We start from the raw sequence: 25,516 nt of genomic DNA on the forward strand, positions 1-25,516 counted from the left end.
AGTAGAGTAGAGAGAGAAAAGCAAAGTAGTCAGACTTCTTCCTGCTGCCTGGATCCTGCCGCCCTCAGGATCCTGCAGGCCCCGGGCAGATCAATCCTCAATGCTACTTGAGCATCGGAGCCCCCAGGCCCTGAGCTGGGCACTTCAGCAGTGCAGGAGTTGCTCATCTCAGTGTGAGACAGGACCGGAAGTTCAGAGATTAAGTAAATTATCCAAGGTCACATAGAGATTCTTAGCAGAACTGGGGTTTGTAAACACATCTTTCTGTCTCCAAGCTTTTCAGATACACCAGCTGCTTCCTGTCCTGCCCCTCCCTGGGCTCTGTTTTCTCATCTGTAAAGTAGGGATGGGGTAGGTGTATTGAACCAGATGGTGTCCGAGGCCCTGGTCAGCAGTATGAGGTCTTAAATATCAGATCCATGTGCCCAGCTTCCCCTGGACATCCCTGTTGGATGCTTCACACCCAGCCTGCCTCATGCTAGGTGACTGTCTTCCCCTAGCCAGCAGTTCCCCTGGGAATGATCTTGCTATCTCCCTGGGTGTCCAAATCAGAAACTGGCATCTTGCCTCCTCCCTCATACCTGGTCAGTCATTCAGTCCTGTCAACTGGATCTCAAATCTGTTCATTACTCTTCATCCCCACTGCCATTCCCCAGCTTATCGCCGTTACTGTGCACCTAGATCACCGCAGCAGCCTCCTGGCCAGCCTTCCTGCCTGTAGGGCTTAACCCACTCCTCCCTCTACAGCAGTATTTTCTGAACTATAGCCAGCTAACGGTCTTAGATCTGTTGCTGATCATGGTGCTTCCTTGTTTAAGTCCTCCAGTGGCTCCCCATTGAGTCTGTGAAGCCGATAATATGTAGTTCAAACTCTTTGCTTAGCCCTCAAGGCCCTGCCCAACTTGGCCCCTGCTGACTGTCAGCTGGGCCTTACACCATGCCCCTCCGCATGTCAATCGTGATTCTCTCTTTTTTCTGAGCCTCTTTCTCCGATCCTTTCCCCTGGCTGTCACAGTCTCCTCTGCTATCATGCTGATCTTCAGGCCCTCAGTCCCTTGAGCATCTTTCTGGGCTCCATGCCTCCATTCAGGCAAACAAGGATTGGACAACGACGGACTCTGCCCAGAGGGAAATTAGCAGCATGGCTTGATAGAAGGAACACTGGATTGATTGGGAGCCCAGAAATCTGGGACCTCATCCTAACCATGTGATCTTGGACAAATATGCTGCTATTTGAACTTCAGTTTCCTCATTTTATAAAACGAACTAGTGGAGTTCTTTGCTACTTAAAATGTGGTTCTTGGACCAGCATCAGCAGCCTCACCTGGGAACTTGTAAGAAATGCAGAATCTTGGCTGGGCGCTGTGGCTCACGCCTGTAATCCCAGCACTTTGGGAGGCCAAGGCAGGTGGATCACCTGAGGTCAGGATTTCAAGACCAGCCTGACCAACATGGAGAAACCCCGTCTCTACTAAAAATACAAAGATTAGCTGGGCGTGGTGGCACATGCCTGTAATCCCAGCTACTCAAGCAGCTGAGGCAGGAGAATCGCTTGAACCTGGGAGGCGGAGGTTGCGGTGAGCCGAGATCGCGCCATTGCACTCCAGCCTGGACAACAAAAGCGAAACTCCATTTCAAAACAAAAAAAAAAAGGAAATACAGAATCTCAGACCCACTAAAGCATACTCTGCATTTTAACAAGATCCTCGGGCAACTCAAAAGCACTGATCTACATGGGCTCAAGGTTCCTACCATGTTGCTCTGAAGCAGGGTTTCAAGGGTTGACCACCTGGGATGGTTAAGTGGCATCAGTGAGTCACCAAATCCTTCCCAGTCTTATTTCCCAAATACTCCAATGGGTTCCTCCTCTCTATCCTTTTGTTACTGTCCTGGCCCTAATTACCTCCTGCCCATTACTTTTCACTTGAGAATGGCTTTCTGTCTGTCTAACACTTCCCATCCCCAACTCATCTCCTGCTGATTTCAGATTGCCTGGAGGACAAGCTCCAAACTGCCCAGCTCACATTTGGTGCCAGTATCTCTGCGGCCCTCATTAACGTGCACTGCAGCCGCAGACCACCCCTCACTTCTGCCCCCTGGGCATCCACATATGGGACTCTGCGGGGGCAATATCTTCCCTTCTTCCCCTCCTGGTGAAGCTGGTCATCTTTTCAGATCTTAGGGCCGCATCGTCTGCCTCCCAGGCTAGGCCAGCAGTCCTTCTGTTTCAGACTCTCCCCACTGGCCCCTGCCCATCTTGCTGTTAAAGCCCAGGGTGGCATGTTGGGTCACAGTGCCCTCTTCACTGGCCAGTCTCAACAAAGACGTGTGGAAAGAGTAAATGTGTGGGCTGCTGGAGAGACATTCCCCATCAGATACCTGTGAGCTGAGAAGCATAGAGGATGCTGAGCCCAGCCAGGTCCAAGGATATGGCTGCTGCGAGGCTCAGGGCCCCTCAGACTGGGTGCTGAGAAGAGATGTGCCCTGGGGACTCCAGAAGGGGCAGCTGGGCAGGGAGAGGTCCCTACCCCTGCCTGAGAGGAAAGACCTGGTGGGTCTTTGGGCTGAAGAGAAGGCTCAAGGCAGGGTGCTGGAGGCCGAGGCGTCTCCTCTCTGTGAGAAACTCTCCACCCAGGCACGTTTGGGCGGAGGCTGCCTGACCATCTGCTGGGGACATTCCTCAGGGAATTCCTGCAGCAGGCGGAGGCTGGATGAGGTCCCTTCAAACTTGGAGATTCTGTGATTCTAGAGTTGGGAAAACAAGACTCACACACGTGGAATCTGTAATTATCGAGAGATGCCAGGCAGCATATAATTCCGCCTTAAGTGGCACTGAATGCAGGCAGCAGGAATCCTCGGGGGGAGAGCGAAGGGCTCAGAGGCTCAGGGAAAGTGCCTGAAGCAGGTGGGTCTCAGAGTGCCTTGAAGAGAGGAGCACTGGGAGAAGGAGGAAGGGAGGACGCTCACTACAGGGAAATTACCACGAAAGCAAAGGCAGAGAAGTATTACTAGAAATTAATTTGTATTTTCTTCCTAGTTCCCCATATACCTCTGGCTTGACCTCTAGCTTCTTTTTCCTGATCTTGCTGCTTTGGGACCAGAGAGAAGCTGTAGCGACAGAGTAACAACAGTTGCCATCATAGAGTGTGTCAAGCCTTGTATTGTACTAAGTGCTTTTCATCCTCACCGTGAATCTATAAGATAGGTGGTAAAATACCCACCAGTAACAGAGGCTCAGAGAAGCTAAGGAACTTGCAAAAGGTCACATAGGGGTTAAGCAGTCTTGCTTTGCTGAGACAAGGCAGCTCCCTATCCTCCCAACTTCATGGGGGCATCTTCTGTAGAAATAACATCTAGACATCTTTATTCCCAAGCTCAGCACCCCCAGGTTTAGCAAGGAGGTGGGTCTTGGCTTGGCCTGGCTTTTTTAAGATGTTGGGATTTGAGTTCCCACCAGCCACCCTTGCTCCTAGCAGTCTGTAAAGCTGGGAAAACTGAGACTGAGACCTCTGGCCCCCTCTGGTCCAGGGGAGGCATGGCCCTTTCAAGCTGGCCTGGCTCCCGGCCCAGTCTAGTGGTGAGGGTTGGGATGAGAGTGTGGAATGAAGTGGCTCCTATCCAGAAGGCTCCCTGTTCTCAACCAGAGGCTGTCTGTGCAGCTCTGGTCCCCTGGGTTTCAAGCACCCTCTTGTGGGTCTGCTGCAGTGGCTGGAATGTAATTTGTCACTTGTTTGAGGGCCAGGCTGACAGAGGCCAGACAGGGCTGGGTGTCGGACAGGAGGGGTGATGAAGTCTTGATGCAATTTGCAGGCATCTGTAGAGCCTGGGAGACAGATTGAAATGTCAGCTCTGTTCTTGAGGGCTGTCTTCCATACCCATAGCCAGTGACAGGAGGGGACCTGGGGGCCAGGCAGGGGGAAGACAAAAGCAGAGGGAGCTGAGGACAATTCCTCCAGGACCCTGGGCTGTCTAACACTGCCCTGCTTCCAGCAGACCATGGAGTCAGCTCAAGGAGGAAATACAGCCACTTTGAGAGGCTGGCCCTTTCCAGGATGGGAGGTGGGAAGGATTCAGGTTGTCTTCTGCCAACCTCTAGCTCAACAGCCTCATCTGCCCTGTCTGTCCCCATAGAAGCTGTCAGTCAGGCCTCCAGCACGTGCCCTAATGGCGTAACCCACAGACGAGATGGCACTACAGTTTTTGTACTCATTTGCACCAGTACAACCCGGCATAGGCAGATGAGCTCAAAGATGACTCTTGTGTGCGATCCCCACCCCCAGATGCTGGCTACAGGTCTCCTAGGCTCTCTTGGTCACCATCACCTGTGTGTACTCGGACACAGGCCCACTTACACGCACACAGCCCCCTCAAACGTGTCATGGCACGTGCACTTCCACCCCCTGGCAGAAAATAACCCACCAATCCAAACTCTCACACTATGCCTAGGCGCCACCACCACCCTATTCGCATGCCCTCACACACCCGTGCTCCCTCACAGCAACCATAGGATAATCACAATTTTCCCACAAGAACCTTCGCAGTTTTCACATCCATTATCTCTTCAGCTCTCATAAAGTCTCAATAAGGGAGGCAGGGCAGGCTGTTTTCCTGCACTTTATAGATAAGGGAACCTTGTAATCAGGGAAGTTGAGAGATCCTCTTTGGTCACACAGTGAGTCCAAGACAAAGCCAGGACTCGAGGCCAGGACTCATGATTCCTGGTCCAGTGTCCTGTCTTGTGTGCCTGGCAACCCCAGGCCCTCCCCAGAACTGGGAGAATTCCAAGTGGATGTCCTCCAGAATCAGGCAGGGCTGACTGGGAAAGGGCATCTGGGGCAGATCCTGACAGGTACCGGTCTCCGCCTGGGTCTCCCACTTTGGATTTGCCTTGTGCCACAGACAGGCCTATCTCCTGGGCCAAGGGAAGAACAGGGGCTTTTGAGTCTTGGATTGAATCCCGGCTCAATCACTGACCAGTTGAGGGGCCTTAGGCAAGTCATATGACCTCTCTGAGCCCCAGTTTTGCCTGTGAAATGGGGATAGTTTACCTACTTCATGGGTTTGTAAGGATTTGGTTAGATCCTGCCAGTAAGGGTTTTAGCACAGAGGGGCACAGCGCTAGCAGTCATCTTTCCATTTAATGGGGAGATGTGGGCCACACCCTGGTAAAACCTTGGCATTTGCAGCAGAAATGATAGCCGGCTATGAACTTACTTTGCCCTCAGGTCTGCCAGGGCTCTGCCTGGGAGGCATTGTACCTTGGAGCCACCCTCTCCCTGGCCCAGACTCTGCAGCTGCCAGGAAGCAAGCAGCAGAGCCAAGAACCTGAGGTGCCCCTGCTCAGTCAGGCCTATAAGGGAGCTTGCTGACCCCAGAGAAGGAGCCACACTCAAAGGGACTGGCTAGGAGAAGCCTGGTGCATCATCTGGTTCAATCTCCCTTTATAGAGAGGTAAACTGAGGCACAGAGAAGGCCAGGGGTTTAGCTCAGTCACAGAGAGGTGGGCTGCAGAGCCAACACTGAAACCCCAGTCTTACAAGACAGACTCTGTGCCCTTCTGAATTGGCACTTATCCAGAAAACCTTATGGGGTAAGATCTGTTTTAGGGATGAGGACAGTGGCCAAAATCCATGGGGCTAGACCTGACTGCACCCTGTCATCCCTCTTGGATAAGCCTGCCTAGAGCCAGGAAATATAAAGTTGTCCAGAAATTCCACCCAACTGACCCCCTACCCCATGCCCACATCAGGCCTGGTCCTGACACGGCTTAGAAGGGCAGGGTATTCTGGCTATCAAACTGTCAGCTGGCCTGGCATGGGCGAGCTGTGTGCCAACAGAGCCACCTGGGGCACGAGGGCAGGGACTGTGGGCAGCTGTGCCCAGGCTCCAGATGGTACAGAGAGCAGCCAAGCCAAGATGGAGGCTGGCAGTGGGAAGGCTCTTGGAATGCCAAGTGCAGAGAGAGGCAGGCGCCAGGCCCGGAAAGGCCTGGAGCCCTCAGGGGGAGACTGACTGCCTGGGGAGGGGCTGGGACCCACATGGGCTGTGAGGCTCATGCCCATCCATCCTGAAGGGGCTTCTCTGGACCTCTCAAGAAAGAGCCTAGCCCAATGCCTGATCCCCAGATGAATCAGGCAAGCCTCCTTGGATCACAGAGGGCCTGACCTGGCCTCCTCCCTGTGGATGGCTCAGACCTTCAGCCTCAGAGGGCATCAATAACTGCAGCACCATCAAAGGAGGTGGGAGGCAGGAGATGAAGCAGGTTATGAGAGGCTGTGGTCCAAGCCATGGAGAATAGGGCTTTTAGGGATTCTGGTACCCCTGAGGCTGGTCCTCCAAAAAAAGGGAATTGAGAGGGTCTTGCTGAAGGCCCCGGACTTGAGGCAAGGGCTGTGGTCTCATGCTAGGGTCCCAGCATGGTGTCTGGCTGCTTTGCTCAGGGGTATGATTTGTGGGTCCCTAAGACAGTCCTCTCCTCCATGGCTCCTGTCACTCTTCTTGCCCAGACTTTGTCCCACCTATCTGCCCTGAGTGATCCCAGTGAATTCATAGAGGGGCAGGTGGGGAATTCTCCATGATGGAGGGAAGCCACAGGCAGTCCCTTCTCCCCAAGCCTGAGGAGCCATGGGGAGCTCTGTAGGCCTTCCAGCTGCCCACCCATCCTGCCCCCAGTGTCCAGCATGGCCTGACACAACTGTCAGCCTGGGCAGAAGGACGCTGCTCTTGGGCTGAGCCTCTGGCAGGAGTGTGATCCGGAAGCCCTTACCCTTACCCTCCGCCCCTACACAACAAAGCCACCTTTCCAAAACAGCCAGGGCAGCCTTCAAGGGCCAGGCCTGCCGCACCTGCTGCTGCCCAGGCCAGACTTGGCTGCTGGCTTCTCATCCTACAGGTCTCAGGCCAGGTGTCATCACCTCCAGGAAGCCTTCCCTGACCCCCAGGCTGGTGGAGTGTGCCCGTCCTGTGCTTCCCATCCCCATCCCTGCCAGCACTGGGCATTCCGTGGTCATTGTTTATGATTTCTGTCTTCCCTACTAATCATGAAGGTCTGTGTCCCCAGTGCCCAGCGCAGAGCATGGCACATAGCAAATTCTCAATGTTTGCTTGTGGAACAAATCCACTCAACAAAACTAATTAGTAATTAACTGACTGACTTTTGGCAAGTCCCTTTTCTTGCCTGGGCCTCAGTTTTTCCAACTCTCCAGTGGGTATTGTTGGGTAGTGTCAGAAATTCTTCAGGTCCCAAGTGGCCTGGGTGGGGGTGGAGGTTGCCAGAACTGGCCCTGGAAGAAGAGCCTTAAATCCTGCTTAGTTCTGGCTGATTCTTTCTCTTGCTCCTTCCCCAAATTGGGTGCTGACCCCGCTCTGGCCACCCTGTGCCCGCCTCCCCTCCATGACTTCAGACTATCTCAGGCCGTCCGGGCCGACAGTGTCCCCAAGGACCCTGCCCCCATGGCACCGAGGTGGAGGGTGGGGCCAGCATCTGCCACATTTCCTGACAGCAATCCAGGGCTGTGGCAGGTCTTCGTCTCAAGGTTGCCTGGTAATGGCTTTTGCATTCTGATAAAAGAAAAAAAATGTGGCAGCACCAGACAACAGACACGGGGCTTATGTGAGGGGTGGGCATCCAGCATGGGGCTTGTGCCTGGGCCAGAGAGGGGGCAGGCAGAGCCAGCATCTTGCTCCATTGTGGAGGGTGCCAGGGCTGGGCTCAGCCTTGTCCAGTGGGCTTCAGTAGGGGTGGTAGGCTTGGGGGGGGCAGACAGAGCCTCCCAGGCCTGTAGGGGGGCACTCAGCCTGGCACCTGCCCCCTCCCACCCCCTTTCCCACACCTGCAGCTGGTGCTTTCCACCCAGTGAGCCACAGCCGGTGCCACCTCTCATTAGGTGATGATTTTACATTAATTACCTTAATTAAGCGGTGCTGAGTGCTAATGGCTTGAGGCGGGGTGGCTGTTCCTAATTACCCTCCCAGTCAGCCCAGAGTGAGGGGCACAGGGCTTGGCAGAGTAGGAGGAAACAGTTGTAGGAAGAAGGGGAGGGGCCCAACAGGGGTAGGAGAGGGTCCCCCTGACAGGGTCTGATTCAGATACCTGGACCTGACATCCCCAGAGGGGAGGGCTGGAGGCACTGCCCCAAGATAGGTCTAGACGGCTTCAGTCCCCAATCCAGGGACATGCAGGAATTGGAATGGGCGGGAAGCAGAACAGAAGGCAGGGAGCAGGGAGCAGGACACACTTCTCAGCGCCCTGCCAGATTCCCTCAACCAGGCTGAATGCCTCTCTTGCCCACTCCTGGTCAGTCTCCAAGATTCAAGTCAAATGTCATCACATCCCTTCCTTCCTCCATCCCTTTGTCCGATCATTCAGTCAGCGCATGGAGTACCCATTCTGGGCTCTGCACTACAAGGCACCCCTTAAGGAGCTCACAGTCTAGCTGGGGAGGTGGACAGCTGTAAACAGTTGGATGGAAGGCAGACTGCTAAGAGCTAAGATGGGGGATGCCCCAGGCTTTGGGGATCTGAGGGAATTCCCAGAGAGGGTGATGCCAGGGCCAAGTCCTAAGGGAAGGCATCATGGGATGACTCTTCCAGGCAGAGGGACCAGCATGTGCAGCTGGGACTTGGGAAAGAAGGTTTGGCCCATTCAGTTAGCTGCAAGCTGTTTAGTGCAAAGTGGGGGTAAAGAACAAGGGACGAAGTGTCTAGGGGTGGACCCAGAGAGACTGACCTTGATTCAGGAGCCCTTAGAGAGGTGTAGGGGGCAGGATTGATTTGAGAAAAATGACTGCAGTGGAGGTGGAGATGGGTAGAGTAGGGAGCAAGTGTGGGCGGGGTGACCAGTGAGGCAGCTACTGCATCATCAGGGGAGGGATGGTGGGGTCTAAACCACATGTGGTTGTGGGGATGGAGGGAGAGAAGCAGAGAGATTTAGAGGGGAGTATCATGGTGACAGAATTTGGGGATGAATTGATGGGACTGGGGGAAGAGGGACAGGGAAAGGCTAAGGAGACCCCATGTTGCACATTAAGGGACACCATCCACATTGCACTATGGTGGTTCTGCTCCAGGTTTCTGACCTGGACAGGAGTGGCTTTGGGGGAACAAAAGGAAGATTTGGGTTTGTGGAGGTTGAGGAGCCTGTGGGACATCTGTGAGGACCTGTAGCCTCAGGCCTCGGGATTAAGAGAAAGTCTTAATCCTAACGGAGGGATGAGATAACCCAGGGAGGCTGGGGACAGGAGGCTGGCCTGTAGATTTGACTTTCCTATCAGCTGATCACCTCTCTGATGGTGTAATCAGGTCTGTCTTCCCCCACCTCTGCATCCCAGAAGCCAGCACAGAACCTGACCCAGAGGAACTGCTCAGAGAGGATTTGCTGAATGAATGAATGAATGAGTGAAGCTCCATGACTCTCTCAGGCCCAGCGAGGCAGCCCTGTGTTCTCTGCTTAGCCCATAGATTCAGATGTAGGGTTTATACTCACCCAGTCCCCTGCCCATCCAAGGCTAGAGCCCCCTCCCACAGCCCCTCTTGGCTTAGGCCATTGCCAAACACACGGGGCAGAATCTAACCATTTAGGCCCATCTCCCAGCCCTGGCCTTAGGCGATGCCCCACAATTGATGCCCCTAATCATCCCCACATCCTCTCATAGCATGTGCCTCTCTGAAGAAAGAGAATACACCCGCCCCAGCTTTGCCCTTGCCAGATCCAGATCACTCACCTTGATTTCCACGCCATAGCCAGGGTAGACAGAGATGTAGAAGAAGCAGTCCAGGCCAACATCAGTGGGGGAGCTGAGGTCTGTAGGGGAGTCCAGAGAGCCCTCTGGGCCTGAGAAATTCCAGCTACAAGGGCCTGGGAGGCAGGAGGAGACACAAAGCTAGTGCCAGCTCTGGTGAAGTGGTCCAACTAAGGCTGAACCGTGTGTGTGTGTGTGTGTGTGTGTGTGTGTGTGTGTGTGTGTGTGGTGAAGACCACCTCTTGTGATGTCTAGTCTCCTGTTGAAGGAAGGGGACCACCTTTTATTAGGCACCTACCATGTGCAATCTTTTTTTTTTTTTTGTATTTTTAGTAGAGATGGGGTTTCACCATGTTAGCCAGGATAGTCTCCATCTCCTGACCTCATGATCCGCCCGCCTCAGCCTCCCAAAGTGCTGGGATTACAGGCGTGAGCCACTGCACCCGGCCCCCTAACATGTGCAATCTTATCTCAGTTTTCACAGTAGCTCAATGAGGTTTGTTTTCTTTCTTTTTTTTTTTTTTTTTGAGACGGAGTTTTACTCTTGTTGCTCAGGCTGAAGTGCAATGGCGTGATCTCAGCTCACTGCAACCTCTGCCTCCTGGGTTCAAGCTATTCTCCTGCTCAGCTTCCCGAGTAGCTAGGATTACAGGTGTACACCACCATGCCTGGCTATTTTTTTTTTTTTTTGAGACAGAGTCTCGCTCTGTCACCCAGGCTGGCGTGCAGTGACATGATCTTGGCTCACTGCAAGCTCTGACTCCCGGGTTCACGCCATTCTCCTGCCTCAGCCTCCTGAGTAGCTGGGACTACGGGCACCCCCCACTACGCCCGGCTAATTTTTTGTATTTTTTAGTAGAGATGGGGTTTCACCGTGTTAGCAAGGGTGGTCTCGATCTCCTGACCTCGTTCCACACGCCTCAGCCTCCCAAAGTGCTGGGATTACAGGCATGAGCCACCGCGCCCGGCCAATTTTTTGTATTTTTAGTAGAGACGGGGTTTCACCATGTTGGCCAGACTAATCTTGAACTTCTGATGTCAGGTGATCCACCTGCCTCGGCCTCCCAAAGTGCTGGGATTACAGGCATGAGCCACCGTGTCCAGCCAGAAGTTTATTTTCTTATTGCCATTTTACAGATGAGGCTCAGAGATGAGATGTTAAATAGAATTCCTAGGGTCATGTTATAGTTGGAAGAATCAAGATTTTTTCTTTTTTGAGACAGAGTCTCGCTCTGTTGCCCAGGCTGGAGTGCAATGGTGCAATCTCAGCTCACTGCAACCTCTGCCTCCCAGGTTTGAGTGATTCTCCTGCCTCAGCCTCCCGAGTAGCTGGGATTACAGGTGCCCACCACCATGCCCGGCTCATTTTTGTATTTTTAGTAGAGATGGTGTTTCGCCATGTTGGCCAGGAGGGTCTTGAACTCCTGACCTCAGATGATCCACTGGCCTCTGCCTCCCAAAGTGCTGGGATTACAGGCATGAGCCACTGTACTTGGCTGAAGAATCAGGATTTGAGCTCAGGTCTATCTGGGTCCAATCTACATGCCTCCTGCAGGCTGGCCCTTGGTGCCAAAGGGCAGGGCAGGCTGGCACAGTGTCAGAGACAGGCTTTTAGGGGCCCCGCAGCCTCCCCCATCCCCATTTCCACATCTGCAAGCCAGCAGGTAGCTGACCTGGTGTCTGGACTGTGGTGATGGTGGTGGTGATGATGGTGGTGGTAGTGGTGGTCTCCTCATCATCTCCTGAAGCTGTGGAGGAGGTGATGGTCCCCTGGATCCCGATCCCTGCGCCCTGGGACACAACCTCTGCAACCCACGGCCTTCCCATGTCTCCAGGACCCTCTTGGGTTGGTGTCCAGGCTCTGCTGGGGGGTGTAGTGCTGGCTATCTCCCCTGGGCCTAGGGTGGGCACTGCCATGCTGGGCCCTGGAGGTAGGGGAGCTGTGATTCGAAGCATAGGGGACTCTGACTCCGGACTCCAGGGTCCCTCCTTGGACTGGGGCTGAGTGGGTACCGCAGCCATGGCTGGAGTGGGGCTGGTAAAGACAGGGCGGCTGTCCTGGTTGGCCAGGCGGGGAAGGGGACTTGGGGTGAAGGGTGCAGGTGGGTCAGGCTGGAAGGGCAGTGCTGGCCTCAGCTCCTCATCTCCCTTTTCCAGCCCCTCTTGTAGGAATTCCTCAAGCAGCGGGTGGTGGTTGAGCAGCTTCAAGGTGGGGGCTGTTGTGACAAAGTGGACGCCTCGTTCTGGCTGCTCAGGTGTGGGGGCTGCTGTCAGCTCGCCATCTGTCTCCTCGATGCCTGGGGCTTGTCCTTTCCCCACGGTTGGGGCCTCTAAAGAGAGTCCTGAAATAATAAGGGATGGTCAGAGGTTCTCCCCCTGCTCCAGAGAGCAGCATCACGCCCAACTCGAGTAGTGGGGGGGCCCGCTCTCTTTTGACAGACAGCCCTGAGGAGCGTGCTCACTGCTGAGAATCACGGAACTACAGAATTTGTGAACTGGAAGTGAGGTGCTATTACATACTTCAAGGGTGGCACATGAGATACTCTTTCTCCTCCAGCACCAGAGGCAGGCATTTCTAGCCCATCCGTGCACTATTTCCTACTGTTCTCAGGTTCAGCCTCAGAATCCTCCTCAACACAGCACTCCACGAGGTCACACCTGACACCTCAGACTGACATGACAAATATTTGCCATCCCTAATGAAGAGCAGAGGCCTTATTTTACTAGTGAGGAAATAGGCCAGAGAAAGGAAGTGACTTGCTCAAAGTCACGCGACCAGTTGAATTGAGATGAAAACCGTAAGTGTGTCTCCCACCACAGTGTCTTTCCTGTCTGAGATGATAGGGCATTCAAGTTCATTTCCTGTTCTCAGTGAACCTGCTGGTCATTAGCCTCAGGAAATGCGTCACATATTTGGGATTTTATTTTAGATTTCCTCATGGTTGCATGACTTCTTTTTTTGTTTGTTGGTTTTGAGACAGTGTCTCGCTGTGTGGCCCGGGCTGCAATGCAGTGGTGTGATCATGGCTCCACTGCAGCCTCAACCTCCCAGGTTCAAGCGATCCTCCCACCTCAGCCACAGTCCCCACACCCCCACTTCTAGTAGCTGGGACTACAGGTGCATGCCACCATGCCTGGCTAATTTTTAGAATTTTTGTAGAGATGGAGATCTCACTATGTTGTCTGGGCTGGTCTCAAACTCCTGGGCTCAAGCAATCCTCTCACCTCAGCCTCCTAGGGATTACAGCATGAGCCACCGCACCCGACCATGGGTGCATGACTTCTTTGTTAGGGGCCCAGTAGTTTCTCTCCGTTCTCAGGAAATCATTTCTTTTGTACTCATTTCTGTTTTTATGGTCCTTCTAGAGCAGTAATATGAGTAGAGTGGGAAGAGCCAAGTTCTGGAGCTAGGCAGACATAACTTCAAATCCCAGATCCACTACTCTAGGGCTGTGTGCCCTCAGGCAAATAACCCAAACTCTCTGAAGCTCAGTTTTCTCATCTGTAAAATTGGGTTTCCTTTTTAGGATTGACTGAGATAATATTACATCCCGTCTCTATTTGATATGTCCCCCTGAGTTCCCTTAATCTTTCTGGTGACACTAATCAGGTTCCATCTAGGGCAGGGTGAAAAACAGGTGTAGAATGGAAATCTAGCATGCTACCCACCCACTCCCTAATCCATGGCAGGCATTGCTAATCAATTTTGGTTATTTCTTGCTAAGGCCACCTGGTCCTTAGCAACTTCCCTCTCACAATGTTATTCAGGCAGCCACTACCAATCAATGAGATTGGCTCTGGGGGATGAAACTGATTTGCTATCTCTGGTCTGAGGTACAGATTGCTCTGCTATTGATTGTGTTGACTTATTCAACCACATAGCTGGAGAGATGATGCATATTCTGCTTGTGGCCCATTCGGCTCCCCAGATCCTTAACTGCCAAGAAAAGGTCAATGAATGCTGGCTCCAGATTCAGCTCATACAGAATTTTGCCAGCTCTGAGAAGCCTGGGAGGATATTTCTGATCCTTACAGCTCTCAAAATGGCTGCATGAGGACTTGAAGGGAAACACAGCCGGGGTGAGATCACAGAGTTTGCAAGGAGAAGGTCGCTTCCTCCGCACGTCTGGTGGTGGGGCTGTCATTCCAGAGGCTCACACCCACTCCATAGATTGGCAGGCATGAGGAAGCAGCAGATGGCCTACGTTCTGTTCAGGAGACCATAGCAGCTCTGATGTGTCAGACAAATGGGAGGAGGGAGGAAATTGGGTGGGGGAGGTGGGTACAGGTTGGAGGGCTCTCCATTCTTCTGGGTCAGAGGAGCTTGGGCACCCCACATCCCTGAGAAACCAGGACCAACTGCTATCTCCTGAGATGCCCACTAAAGCAGCCCATCTGTGTCTTGGCATTGTGTGCCAGCCACTGACAACACCATCCAATCTAGATGTCCAGCCAGGCCCACACCCCCCAGAGCAGATGGTCCACCAGTGCCTGTCTTTCATCTGAATAAGTTACGGAAGGTCCAGGCAGTGCCTGTGACATGCCAGAACAGGGCTCCTCTTTTTGCCCACCCCCCAGACATCACACAGGCTATGCCAGGTAAGCTGAGACTGATTCTAGCATGGCGCAAGGAAGGGGGGCTTTTCTAATCACATAGATTGGAGCCCCCTGGATCCGGGCATTGTTTATGCGGCCCCTTTCCAGAGTACCCAACAAGAGATGTGGCCCTTGGCTCTCAGAGTAGGTACCTGTGTGACTCTTCCTGGGAGAGGGAGTGCACAGAGATTCTCTAATTCAGGAAGTGTCCAGGGCAGGCACAGCTCTTCCCGCTGGCTGCCAGGTGGGTGCTGAGCAATGGAGCAGCACTAATGGGCACCTCCCATCACTGTCGATTGCACTGATTGTGCTATCTGGGATCGAGATAGCATATCAAACGAGCAAGTTGATTCCAAAATCAGCTGCCACTTGGTCCCAGCGGGTGCCACCCACTGTCATAGAGGGTAAGATAACCTCTGGGAGACAAGCCATTTCTGGGGAGAGGGCATCTCCAGACCCCCTGGTTGACTCTGTTGGAGGCCTGAGGCCCTGAGACCTGCCCCCTAGTTTCCCAGGATTGTGGCCAGTGGATAGGGGCTTCTCTCTGCCTGGGCTGACTGAATTCAGGGGTGCAGGGACTGACGAAGGGAGAGTATGATATAGGGGACAGCAGAAGAAGGTGTCAGGGGCTCTAATGCCCAGTCTCATCAGGCACTACTGTGTCAGGCCCTTCCCAGACCTTGTATCATTTAATGGATGCTGCGCCTCTGGGAGATGGGAATTTTATTTCCATTTTACAAAGACCTGAAGCCTAGAGAGCTGAGGCAAGGACTCGCCTGAAGTCTCGCAGTGACGCAGCTGGGATTTAAACCTTCGATGATTTGGCTTCAAAGCCCTAGGTCTTTCCACATACCCACCTGCCTCATGGGAGGGGCAGACTGGAGCTACACAGCAGACAACACTCCAGCCAGTTGAAGAAACTAAGTCCAGGGAGAGGCACGGACTCGTCGAAGATCTCACGCCATTTAGAAGTCTGGGGCCAGAGCTTCTGGCATTGGGACTTGGGTTGGGCCCTGGTCGAGCAGGCCCTCAGGAAGCCTTCTGGCTGGGACCCAGGGAAGCCCCCACCCTGTGCCTGAAGCACATCTGAGCCTCAAACCCAAACCGGAGACCCAACAACACTGCTGTGTGGGGCCAGGGCACAGAGCCACACAGACCTGGGTTCAAGTGTCAGTTCTGCCACTTAAAAGTCATGTGAACCTGGCAAGTTGCCTCTCAGAGCCTTTGCCTCCTCAGCTATAAAATGGGCACTTTGGAAGGGTTTTGTGTGAATCTGCATGCTCTGAATAGGAGAGTTCTGAAGGCTGAGGGAGAAGGCCACAGTCAGAGGTTAGGCAGCCCCTGTCAGGGGAACACTGAGGCAGGCTTCTAGGGTAGGAAGGGGTGGCCCCTGGCAGGTAGGGCTCTCTCTTCTCTGGGGGACTACCCATGTTCCATGTTGGGTGGCAGCATGTGTGACCCTGAGGATGTCAAATACCTCATCCATAAAACAAGGATAATACTGCACCATGCAAAGGGCGACCACCTTCAAGGCCCTGCATGTCGGTGGGGGACACAGCGGTGGGCCGCAGCAAGATCGTCCCCGTGATCCCCACTTGCCAGGCCCACCTGGTGCCAGAACACAGGATGCACTCCGCAGTTGCTCAGTCCTCCCCTCCCGCAGGGCCGGGGGCTGCATTCTCCGAGTGGGCTGGGTCCGGGAAACACCCCTCCCTTCCCCGCGGGCCATCCCTGGTGGAGACTGCCCAGGAACTTCCCAGCGCCTGCCGCCCCCAGCCCTGGCATGGCCCCGCCGCCGCCTGGGCCCTCCCCCCGCATTAGCTCTTAAGCTGTGCAAATAGACATCGGAGGGAGCCCTGTTTAAAGTATTTAGACGAAATGAAAAAAGGCTTTCATCGGCACTAATGAGCCATTCAGGATGCCTCCCCGGTGGATTCTCTCCCGCTCCCGCCTCCCTGCCCGCGCCGCCCCGCTATGGCCCCTCTTGGGATTGGAGGCCCCTTCCTCCCAACCCCAGCCTGGGACTCCCTGGGAGGACCGCTTACCCCGCCTCACTTCCCAGGGCCCAGCTGGGTGAGGGTGGAGCGGAGGCCACCTGCGCCCCAGCCCCACCAGATCTGGATCGGGATGGGGGGCGGGGCCCAGCCTGTGTTTAGGGGAAGCCTTAAGGACTGGGGCGTGTTCTAGCGTCCAGCTAGGTAGGTGTTATGGCCTCTGTCTTATAGATGGGGAAACCGAGGCTCAGTGAGGCCCAGGAGCTTGCCCAGGTTCACAGTGGTGGTGTGCGGTGGAGCTGGAGTCATTACGCAGTGCCCCAGCCTGGGGGAACCGCCGAACCAGGCAGTGGTGCCACCTCAGGGCCAGCTGGCTTGCCCCTTCAGCGCTGCTGTTTCTGCAGATCTTTCTGTACCAGTCAGCCAGAAAGCCTTGGGTTCCAATCCCAAATCGATGTGACACTAGCTGTGTGACCTGGGCGGGGGCTGCCCACTCAAGCCTCTGTCTGCTCATCTGTGGAGTGAAGACATACTGGGTTTGGGGAGAGCTCATCTATGGACAGACATATACTGTCACCCACCGCAGCCTCTGGAAGGGCAGGTGGCACTGTCTGTCACTCTGGCAGCCCCTGAAGAGGTGCCAGGCATTTCCCAAGCCTCTGGCCCCTCTGAGGTGGGCAGTCACGGGAACCAAAGTTCTGGGACGAGTTCAGGCCTGATCCCCGCCTCATGGCAGCACCAACTGTCAGCTTCGGGGGAGGGCATGACAGCGTGTGGGTACAAGGGGGAGCCTGAGGGACAGGGCGGGCAGGGGGCCCACTCCTCTGGGTTCCAGAGGTTAAGCTGGCCCAGCACGGGGACAATGAGAATTTAATGGGATCCATTTATTATCCCATAAAAGTTAATGAGTTTATTCTGAAGGTTCCCTGGCCCCTTTCAAGTTTTAATAGGGGATTAGTGAGGGCCTGGTCCCTGCAGACCCCTATTATCCGAGAACCTGAGGGAGCTGAGAGTGCTTGGGCCCCCCAGAGCCAGAGTCCCTCCTTACAGTGACAATTCCACGGGCCCAGCCCTGCCCTCTGTACTGTGAGGCCCCAGCTAGAGGCTGGCAGGGCTATATAGGGCCGCTGGGATCTGAGGCCTAGTTCTAGAGGCTTCCAATTCCATGCGCAACTGAAATAATTACCCCGACAGTGTCCAGCACCTGAGGCAGGTTTGCTGCTATCCATCTGCTTGTATTGACAGGGAAAGCAATATAACCCCCATGAGACAGATAAGGAAAGCAAGGCCCTGAGCAGGGATGTGGCTCCTCCAAGGTCACCCAGAAGCTATGGCTGAGCCAGAATGGACACATTCTGTCTCCTGTGGTTGGTAGCCAGGAAACTGGGGCTGGTAAGAGCTGCCATTCACTTACTCGGTGCCCACTGTGTGCTGACCATGCACTCAGTGCCCTCATACGTAATTTCTCATTCTCCCCTTGCTCCAGGGAGGTTTGGGACATTATCCCAAGAGATGAAGACACTGAAGCCCAGAATGGTTATGTAACTTGTCCAAGGTCACGCAGCTAATGATGGCAGAGCCTCGGACTGGAACCCAAAGCTGGACAGCCCCATAGCTCAGCTGTCTACTGCTCTTGCTGGCTTTCGGCTGTAGCACCTGGGGCCTCCTATCTCCCCACCAAGCTGGACACCACTATCCTAGCGCACTCGTGCCAGGAGCCCTGCAGCTTGGATGATGGGGAAGGGTGTTCTGGTTGTGCCCTGGAGGGGCAGTTGTTGGGTTGGACACAGAGATACACTCAAAAGGAACTTCTCATCGTCAGAACAGGTGCCTTCCCCGTTTTGGCCCCAATTGCTCACGCGATTCTCTCTCCTTGCCATGGCTTCTCTACTCCTTTGTCTCTGCAAAACCTCCCCATCCTTCACGGGTCAGTTCCTAGCCTCCTCTGGAGATCCATCCTTGCCTGGCCCTTCTCTTGACCTCCTGGGGGCACTTCCTAGTGGGCTCCTAACACATGAATGGCTTGTGTCCCTGGGCAAGGATCCAGCAGTGGGTATCTCTCTTCCCATTTCTCTACCTGGTGCTAGGCATAGTGAAGGCTGGGCTCAGGGCACACTGTTTCCAAGCCCCGATTCTGCCTCTCTGCACACTCAGAAGGCAACCTGCTCCCCAAAGTGCCTAGCCCTTGGCCAGCAAGGTGAGCAGGAGTGGGTCCTGCCAGGAGAAGATGGGCAGCCAGCCCTTGGCCATGCCCCATCACAGCCCCAACTGGCAGTTGATGGGGAGTGTCTGCTGGCACAAGCTGATGGGTCCCCATTGCCCCGGACTACCCTCTCTTCCCCTGCCACTGATCATCCCCATCACAGCCTCTCACCACCCTCTCTTTCTTGGTCAACCCCTGCAGTCCAGTCAAATTTGGATTGCAAATATGAATGGGGGCACCTCCTCTTGGCCAGGCTCCAAGTGGGGCAGTGGCTGGTTCCCAGAACATGAGCCCTTGTAGCATCTCATCCCTCCCTCACTTACCCAAGAGGAAACCAAGTCCAGGGGGTTTTCCCAAGTCACACAGCAAACTTGGGGCAGGGTTGGGACTCAGGATGGGGCTGGGACATCTAGCCCAACTACTGGGAAGAGTGAACCCTCCAGTCTGGAGCTGTCTTTTATCTGTGGGCATACCTCCAGGGACAGAGACCCCACTGCCTCCTTAGCCATCCTGGTTGGGGACAGGGGTAACTGTGGGCTTTGGCATCTCCAGAGTTGGGGTCTCACTGTCACATGGAGGGAGCATGGGTGGAGGTAGTGGGCACCAGCTAGGAGTCAGGCCATGCTATCCTCATCCCACCCCTGACAAGCCAGGTCCCTCAGCACAAATCACTTCCACAACCTGAGTTTCCATATTTTTGTCAGTAAAATGGGTCCCTGCCAGTTCTCACATTCCAGGATCTAGTGAACCATGAAGGGCTCTATGAATAAAAATATTGAATGCTGCTGTTTACTGAGTATACATTTACCACATGCCCAGCAACACTCTAAGTGCTTTATCAGAATTAATCCCTATAATAACTTTATGAGATGGGAACTTTTATTATCCCATTTTGTAGATGAGGACACTGAGACCCAGGGAAATGCATTAGCAGTTTGGATGCTAATGCAGTCTGATTCAAACCTGGGTTGTCTAGCCTAGAGCAGCCCTGTCCAATAGACCTTTGTGATGATGGAAATATTTTTATTTATTTATCTTATTTTTAGAGATGAGGGTCAAGACCCTATGTTGCCCAGACTGGGCTTGAAACCACCTTTGCCAAAATTATAATGGTGAGAAAATTATGACAGTGAAATAGATGTGATGTAACCAACTCCATCTTACCTTTAACCTCCAGACTGCCCTTGGTCATTCCTGGGTATGGGCCAAGCTAACTTTGGGAGAAATTTAGTTTATAGTTTAAATGATAATAGCCCTTCCCAAAACTAAGCCACCTTTTAAAAACTAATGAAAGAGGCCAGGTGCGGTGGCTCACACCTGTAATCCCAGCACTTTGAGAAGCCGAGGTGGGGGGATCACCTGAGGTCAGGAGTTCGAGACCAGCCTGGTGAAACAACATGGTGAAACCCCATTTCTACTAAAAATACAAAAGTTAGCTGGGCGTGGTGGTGCACACCTGTAATCCCAGCTACTCAGGAAGCTAAGGCAGGAGAATCACTTGAATCTGGGAGGCGGAGGTTGCAGTGAGCTGAGATAGCACCATTGCACTCCATCCTGGGCGACAAGAGTTAAACTCTGTCCCCTGCCCACACACACACAAAAAAAAGAATGAAAGACCACCAGGTTTGGAGGCTGAGAGGGGCCTGAATTCTGCTGAGATGTAGGCATAGTTAGCAGCCGTTATTCTGGAAGTCACAAGATTTGCAACTTTCCCAATTACTCCTGTAAATAACATCACTATAGTAGAACCTATGATTGGCTTTTTGAGATGTCTTTTCGGACTTTTGCATTTCTTTTTTTCTTTACTCTGTCACCCAGACTGGAGTGCAGTGGCATGGTCTTGGCTTGCTGCAGCCTTGACCTCCCAGGCTCAGGTGATTCTCCCACCTCAGCCTCCTAAGTAGCTGGGATTACAAGCATGTGCCACCACACCCAGACAGTTTTTTGTATTTTTAGTAGAGATGGGGTTTCACCATGTTGCCCAGGCTGGTCTAGAACTCCTGAACTCAAGCAATCTGCCCACCTCAGCCTCCCAAAGTGCTGGGATTACAGGTGTGAGCCACTGTGCCTGGCAAGACTTTTGCATTTCTGTTGACAAGATGGCTCCACCTGGCTCAAGACTCATGACTCCCGGGTCCTGCGGCCCCCACCCAGAAGTGGACTCAGTGTAGGAGGACCATTTTCCAGACCCCTATGATTTCATCCCCAACCAATCAGCAGCACCCATTCCCCATCTCCCGGCTATAAAAAAACCCTAGCCTCCTTCAGGCTTGAAAGAAGACTCCCGAATAATAGTAATAATAATATAATAATAATAAAAGTAAAAAACCAAAAAAACACCAAAACCCTAGCCTCCAAATATTCAGGGAGGCTGATTTGAGTAGTAATAAAACTCTGGTCTCTCATTTATTTATTTATTAAAAAAAATTTTTTTTGAGACAGTCTCACTCTGTCACTCAGGCTGGAGTGCAGTGGCATGATCTCGTCTCACTGCAACCTCTGCCTCCTGGGTTCAAGCAATTTTCCTGTCTCAGCCTCCCAAGTAGCTGGGACTACAGGCATGTGCCACCATGGCCAGCTAATTTTTGTATTTTAGTAGGGATGAGGTTTCGCTGTGTTGGCCAGGCTGATCTCAAACTCCTGACCTCAGGTGATCTACCCGCCTTGGCCTCCCAAAATGCTGGGATTACAGGCGTGAGCCACCACTCCCAGCCTCCATTTATTTATTTATTGAGACGGAATCTCGCTCTGTCACCGAGGCTGGAGTGCAGTGGCACGATCTTGGCTCACTGCAACCTCCGCCTCCTGGGTTCAAGCGATTCTCCTGCCTCAGCCTCCTGAGTAGCTGGGATTGCAGGCGCCCGCCACTACGCCTGGCTAATTTTTGGTATTTTTAGTAGAGACAGGGTTTCACCATGTTGGCCAGGCTGGTCTCGAACTCCTGACCTCAGGTGATCGGCCTGCCTCGGCCTCCCAAAGTGCTGGGATTACAGGTATGAGTCACAGCGCCCGGCCAGTTTACATTTAAATAGCCACATGTGGTCAGTGGCTACCATAATGGAAAGTGCATATCCCTACCTGACTTCTCAGCCTTACAGTAGTCACACCTCTCAGTGAGGAAGAGCCCAGGGTGGGGCTCCTGGAAAAGAGTTAAGATGGGGTGTCTGCTCCCCTCCTTTCGGGTCTGGGAAAACTGCGGCTTGGGATTGGCAGGGAGAGATGACAAGGAGCCCTGGACTTCTTCGAGTTTTTCAGAAAGGCCTCGGGGAACTGGGCGTAGCAGCTACTCATTCCTCAGGGAGGATTCTTGTCATCCACCGATGAGGTTTGCTTCCCAAACTTGGCCGCGCACAGGTGCTCTGAGGGTTGGATGTATGATGGGCAATTCTGGAAGCTCAGAGCCAGTTTAGGAGGATTTTATGGGTGGAGGACAGCCAGGAACACTTAGCTTCGTACTTTGCCCTCACATGTGTGTTCCAGGGGAACGTTTGCTGCGCTCTGTTGGCTTGCCCCTGCCTCACTGCCCAGCCAGCAGCACCGAGGGCAGAGTATCTGGCCTGGCTACTACCCCAGAGCAGCTGCCTGGCCTCGGGCACAGGAGAGGCACTCACATTTACTGAGCACCTGCTATGGGCTAGCCATGCACTTCACAAAGAGCTGTCTTCCACCTAGAGTGGCAGCCCTTTGTGCTTGGAATCAATAGTTTATGCTTGGCCTATGAAGAAACTAAGGCTGAGAGGCAAAGTGAATCCTCCTAGTTCACACAGAGGAAAGTGACAAATAGAGTTTGAACCGAGTCTGCCTGTTCCATAGCCTGGGATGAAAATGTCTACTGCCTTGGCTGCTGCTTCGTGTGAGCATGTGTGCACGTGCGTGTGTGTGTGGGCGTACGTGTGTGCATGAGACCGGGTGTGTGTGTGTGTGTTCAAGTGCATGTGCATGTGCAGGTCCAAATACATGCCTGTGCCACAAGTCACTACCATGTGTCCCTGCCCAAGGATGCCACACCCTGGGACCTGGCTTCAAGCAGTCCCCAAGCCCAGAAAGGCCCTACCCCCCAAAAGAAGGGATATATTTCTCTCCAAGCTGGCTGTTGTGCCCCTTTTTCACTCTGCCCTCTCCTTGGGGCCTGACCTGACCCGCCCCAGGGCCATCTGTCCTGGACAGCGTCTCAGGCTCTGGGTGGGTGGGGGAGGGAGAGACTAGTTGGGGCTGCGGCTGGGCCAGTCCTCTCTCCTCCAGTGTCCCCTCCCTCCCATGAGGCTGTGACCAGGGGCCCAGGGTAGAGAGCTCCCAGCTAACTGCCACGTTCTCTGCTTTTCAATTTACAGTCTAATATGGTCTCGCCACTGCAGAGCTGGGGGCTGGAGAGGTGATGAATGAGGCCTCTGCTCCTGCGTCACCTGCTGCACTCTACACCGTCCCCTGCAGACCTGTGTTCCCTTCTCCTGTTTGCCTGCTGGCCCTGGGGACCCCAGCCCTGCCTGCCCACAGTTCCTCAGACTGGGCAGGTGGCACTGGAGCTGGGGGCCTGGAGTGGGGGTTAGGTGAGAGGGAGGGACTGACCTTGAGGTAGGGGCAGGAATCGACCCCAGCCTCTGGGGTAGGATGGAAGGAATGGTCTTCTTGGCATCACCCCTCACCAGTCTGATAAATAATCAATCTGCTGTACCTCACCCTGCTTATGCCACCTCCCAGGAGTGTGGCCAGGGCAGAGTCCTAGGTAGGGCTGGAGCTGGGGACTGGGCTTCGTTCTCTCCCTGGAGGCGTTTCTGTCCATCAGCTCCTTCTGTCCATCTGCTAGCCCCAGGCCCCTTCTCCTACCTGCTATGTTAGGAGGCAGAGAATGAGGAGCTACCCACTGGCCCCAAGGTGGGGGTGTGGAGCAAGTGGGCAGAAGTATGTGGCCCTGAGCTGGGTGCGTGACTCACAGCCCTCTCCCTGTGCCAGCCACTTCTACCACCACCATATCAGCAGCAGAGACCATATTTCTCTGAATGGAAAATCTTGGAGGTGTCAGCTGGGACAAGGAAGGATGTGGAGGCAGGAGCTGCATTCTCCCTAGAGCCAGTACCAGGGTCAGCTCTGCCCAGTGCAGTGGTGAAGTTGGGGGACAGGGGTTGATCTAGGGAGGAATAGCATCCCCTCCATCCTTTGCCCTACTGCCTCGCTCCACATACCCAACAAAGACAGTCCTTCCTAGCCATGGAGCCCAGCAAGACAGGGCCATGAGGTGCCAGGGCCGGAGAGTAGGTTCCTTCCTGGGCCCCAGGCCAGCATCTTTGGACTACTGCCCCCTCCCAGCCTCTACCCTGAGGTTCAAAAGGCCACACCACTGAGGCTGTTCCAGCACACGTGTCCACTTTTGAGCTGAATCACCGGCCTGGCAGCCCCAAGCCTCTGTGGCCTTTGGGTTAGATGAAGGGGCTTGTTTTGTGCACCAGGACCAAAGTTACCTCCCTGACTTTGTGACCTTTGCCCTGTGGTTACTTTTGTCTGCTGCATCTGGGAGGAGATGAAGTTGGAGAGCTTGACTGTAGATGGAGGGGCCCTAAGCCCAGACCCCTGGGCTACCCTGATGCTGAGGTGAGCTCTGGCCACTCCCTACCCTGAAAGTCCCTAGCATGTCTGTTCTTAGGTGTGGAAGCTGAGGAGCCTGGTGAGGCCTTATTAGAAGGCCTCGAGCATGGATGGAGCTCTGCCACTGACAGGCTATGCGACCTTGGGTTTGCCCGGCCTCTCTGGGCCTGGCCGGTTTTTCACACAGTATTTGGTTACTGACTTTTTTTTTTTTTCCTTTTTGGAGACGGAGTCTCACTCTGTCACCCAGGCTGGAGTACAGTGGCATAATCTTGGCTCACTGCAACCTCTGCCGCCCAGGTTCAAGCGATTCTCTTGCCTCAGCCTCCCGAGTAGGTGGGAGTACAGGCGCCTGCCATAGTGCCCGGCTAATTTTTGTATTTTTATTAGAGACAGGGTTTCACCGTGTTAGCCAGGATGGTCTTGATCTCTTGACCTCATGATCCGCCCGCCTCAGCCTCCCAAAGTGCTGGGACTACAGGCGCCCGCCACTGAGCCTGGCTAATTTTTTGTATTTTTTAGTAGAGACGGGGTTTCACCGTGTTAGCCAGGATGGTCTCGATCTCCTGACCTTGTGATCCACCTGCCTCGGCCTCCCAAAGTGCTGGGATTACAGGCGTAAGCCACCGCGTCCGGCCCGGTTACTGACTTTTTAGAGAGTCTTTTGGGTGGGTGGGACATAGTCACTGACCCTTTATTATCGGTGCTCAACCCTGGGGGCTGATGGAGCCTCCGGATGGGCAGGGGTAGAGGAGGAGGGGGCTTGGCATGGTGGGGGACTGTGCTCTGTTGACTTGCCACTTTTCTTTTCTTTTTTTTTTGAGACAGAGTCTCACTCTGTCGCCTAGGCTGGAGTGCAGTGGTGCGATCTTGACTCATGCAAGCTCCACCTCCAGGGTTCACTCCGTTCTCCTGCCTCAGCCTCCCGAGTAGCTAGGACTACAGGCACCCACCACCATGCCTGGCTAATTTTTTGTATTTTGTAGTACAGACGGGGTTTCACCGTGTTAGCCAGGATGGTCTCGATCTCCTGACCTCGTGACCCACCCGCCTTGGCCTCCCAAAGTGCTTGGATTACAGGCGTGAGCCACCGCGCCCGGCCGACTTGTCACTTTTCTTTTGAGTGTGCTGGAGCCTGTCACCTCATCTCCCTCTGCTGAGCATCTGCAGGGCTAGGCTGTGTGTATGTGTTTGTGTGTCTGTGTGTGTGCACATGTGTATGTATGTAGGTGTGTGAGCATATTTGTTTGTGTGTCTCTGTGTGTGTGCATGTATGTGGGGGGGGGTGCATTAGGTGAGGAATAGGAGTCAGGGATGGAGGTGTGAGAAGAGGGCCTGGAGAGAGCGCTAAGGTTTCTGGGCAGCTGCTGTGTGCTAGACTCCATGCTGCCCCATCATCTACA

At 53.9% G+C, this 25,516-nt stretch overlaps 1 protein-coding gene and 1 long non-coding RNA gene across 7 annotated transcripts in view, besides 7 other annotated features; one reads left to right on the forward strand and one right to left on the reverse strand.

Annotated features, from left to right (window-relative positions):
• Positions 1–25,516, forward strand: part of LOC105371716 (uncharacterized) — a 64,911-nt gene that overhangs the window by 18,356 nt on the left and 21,039 nt on the right. For both annotated transcript variants that reach the window (XR_001752822.2, XR_007065691.1), the window contains exon 2: positions 22,865–24,119. This is a non-coding gene — a long non-coding RNA (uncharacterized LOC105371716). The remainder of the gene's footprint in view (positions 1–22,864; positions 24,120–25,516) is intronic.
• The window catches only part of SEZ6 (seizure related 6 homolog), a 51,536-nt gene that overhangs the window by 15,053 nt on the left and 10,967 nt on the right, over positions 1–25,516 (reverse strand). For all 5 annotated transcript variants that reach the window (NM_001290202.2, XM_011524315.3, XM_011524317.4 and 2 more), the window contains exons 2-3: positions 11,414–12,082; positions 9,723–9,856 (exon numbers count right to left, since the gene is read on the reverse strand). In NM_001290202.2, coding sequence (NP_001277131.1) covers positions 9,723–9,856; positions 11,414–11,762 — 483 coding nt within the window. In that variant the 5' untranslated portion in view covers positions 11,763–12,082. The remainder of the gene's footprint in view (positions 1–9,722; positions 9,857–11,413; positions 12,083–25,516) is intronic.
• Positions 1,991–2,868: an enhancer, noted in NCBI's record as "H3K27ac-H3K4me1 hESC enhancer chr17:27298966-27299843 (GRCh37/hg19 assembly coordinates)". NCBI's record gives its function as "activates a minimal SCP1, AML or CMV promoter by ChIP-STARR-seq in primed H9 embryonic stem cells {active_cell/tissue: H9 hESC(primed)}" and the evidence as "EXISTENCE:reporter gene assay evidence [ECO:0000049][PMID:30033119]".
• Positions 7,512–8,085: an enhancer, noted in NCBI's record as "H3K27ac-H3K4me1 hESC enhancer chr17:27304487-27305060 (GRCh37/hg19 assembly coordinates)". NCBI's record gives its function as "activates a minimal SCP1, AML or CMV promoter by ChIP-STARR-seq in primed H9 embryonic stem cells {active_cell/tissue: H9 hESC(primed)}" and the evidence as "EXISTENCE:reporter gene assay evidence [ECO:0000049][PMID:30033119]".
• Positions 12,870–12,919: an enhancer, noted in NCBI's record as "active region_11962". NCBI's record gives its function as "activates an Ori minimal core promoter by ATAC-STARR-seq in GM12878 lymphoblastoid cells {active_cell/tissue: GM12878}" and the evidence as "EXISTENCE:reporter gene assay evidence [ECO:0000049][PMID:35858748]".
• Positions 15,698–16,338: an enhancer, noted in NCBI's record as "NANOG-H3K27ac-H3K4me1 hESC enhancer chr17:27312673-27313313 (GRCh37/hg19 assembly coordinates)". NCBI's record gives its function as "activates a minimal SCP1, AML or CMV promoter by ChIP-STARR-seq in naive H9 embryonic stem cells {active_cell/tissue: H9 hESC(naive)}" and the evidence as "EXISTENCE:reporter gene assay evidence [ECO:0000049][PMID:30033119]".
• Positions 17,866–18,367: an enhancer, noted in NCBI's record as "H3K27ac hESC enhancer chr17:27314841-27315342 (GRCh37/hg19 assembly coordinates)". NCBI's record gives its function as "activates a minimal SCP1, AML or CMV promoter by ChIP-STARR-seq in naive H9 embryonic stem cells {active_cell/tissue: H9 hESC(naive)}" and the evidence as "EXISTENCE:reporter gene assay evidence [ECO:0000049][PMID:30033119]".
• Positions 21,869–22,553: an enhancer, noted in NCBI's record as "H3K4me1 hESC enhancer chr17:27318844-27319528 (GRCh37/hg19 assembly coordinates)". NCBI's record gives its function as "activates a minimal SCP1, AML or CMV promoter by ChIP-STARR-seq in primed H9 embryonic stem cells {active_cell/tissue: H9 hESC(primed)}" and the evidence as "EXISTENCE:reporter gene assay evidence [ECO:0000049][PMID:30033119]".
• Positions 22,554–23,237: an enhancer, noted in NCBI's record as "H3K4me1 hESC enhancer chr17:27319529-27320212 (GRCh37/hg19 assembly coordinates)". NCBI's record gives its function as "activates a minimal SCP1, AML or CMV promoter by ChIP-STARR-seq in primed H9 embryonic stem cells {active_cell/tissue: H9 hESC(primed)}" and the evidence as "EXISTENCE:reporter gene assay evidence [ECO:0000049][PMID:30033119]".

Source organism: Homo sapiens, chromosome 17 (assembly GCF_000001405.40).
Source record: "Homo sapiens chromosome 17, GRCh38.p14 Primary Assembly".
Classification (NCBI taxonomy): domain Eukaryota; kingdom Metazoa; phylum Chordata; class Mammalia; order Primates; family Hominidae; genus Homo; species Homo sapiens.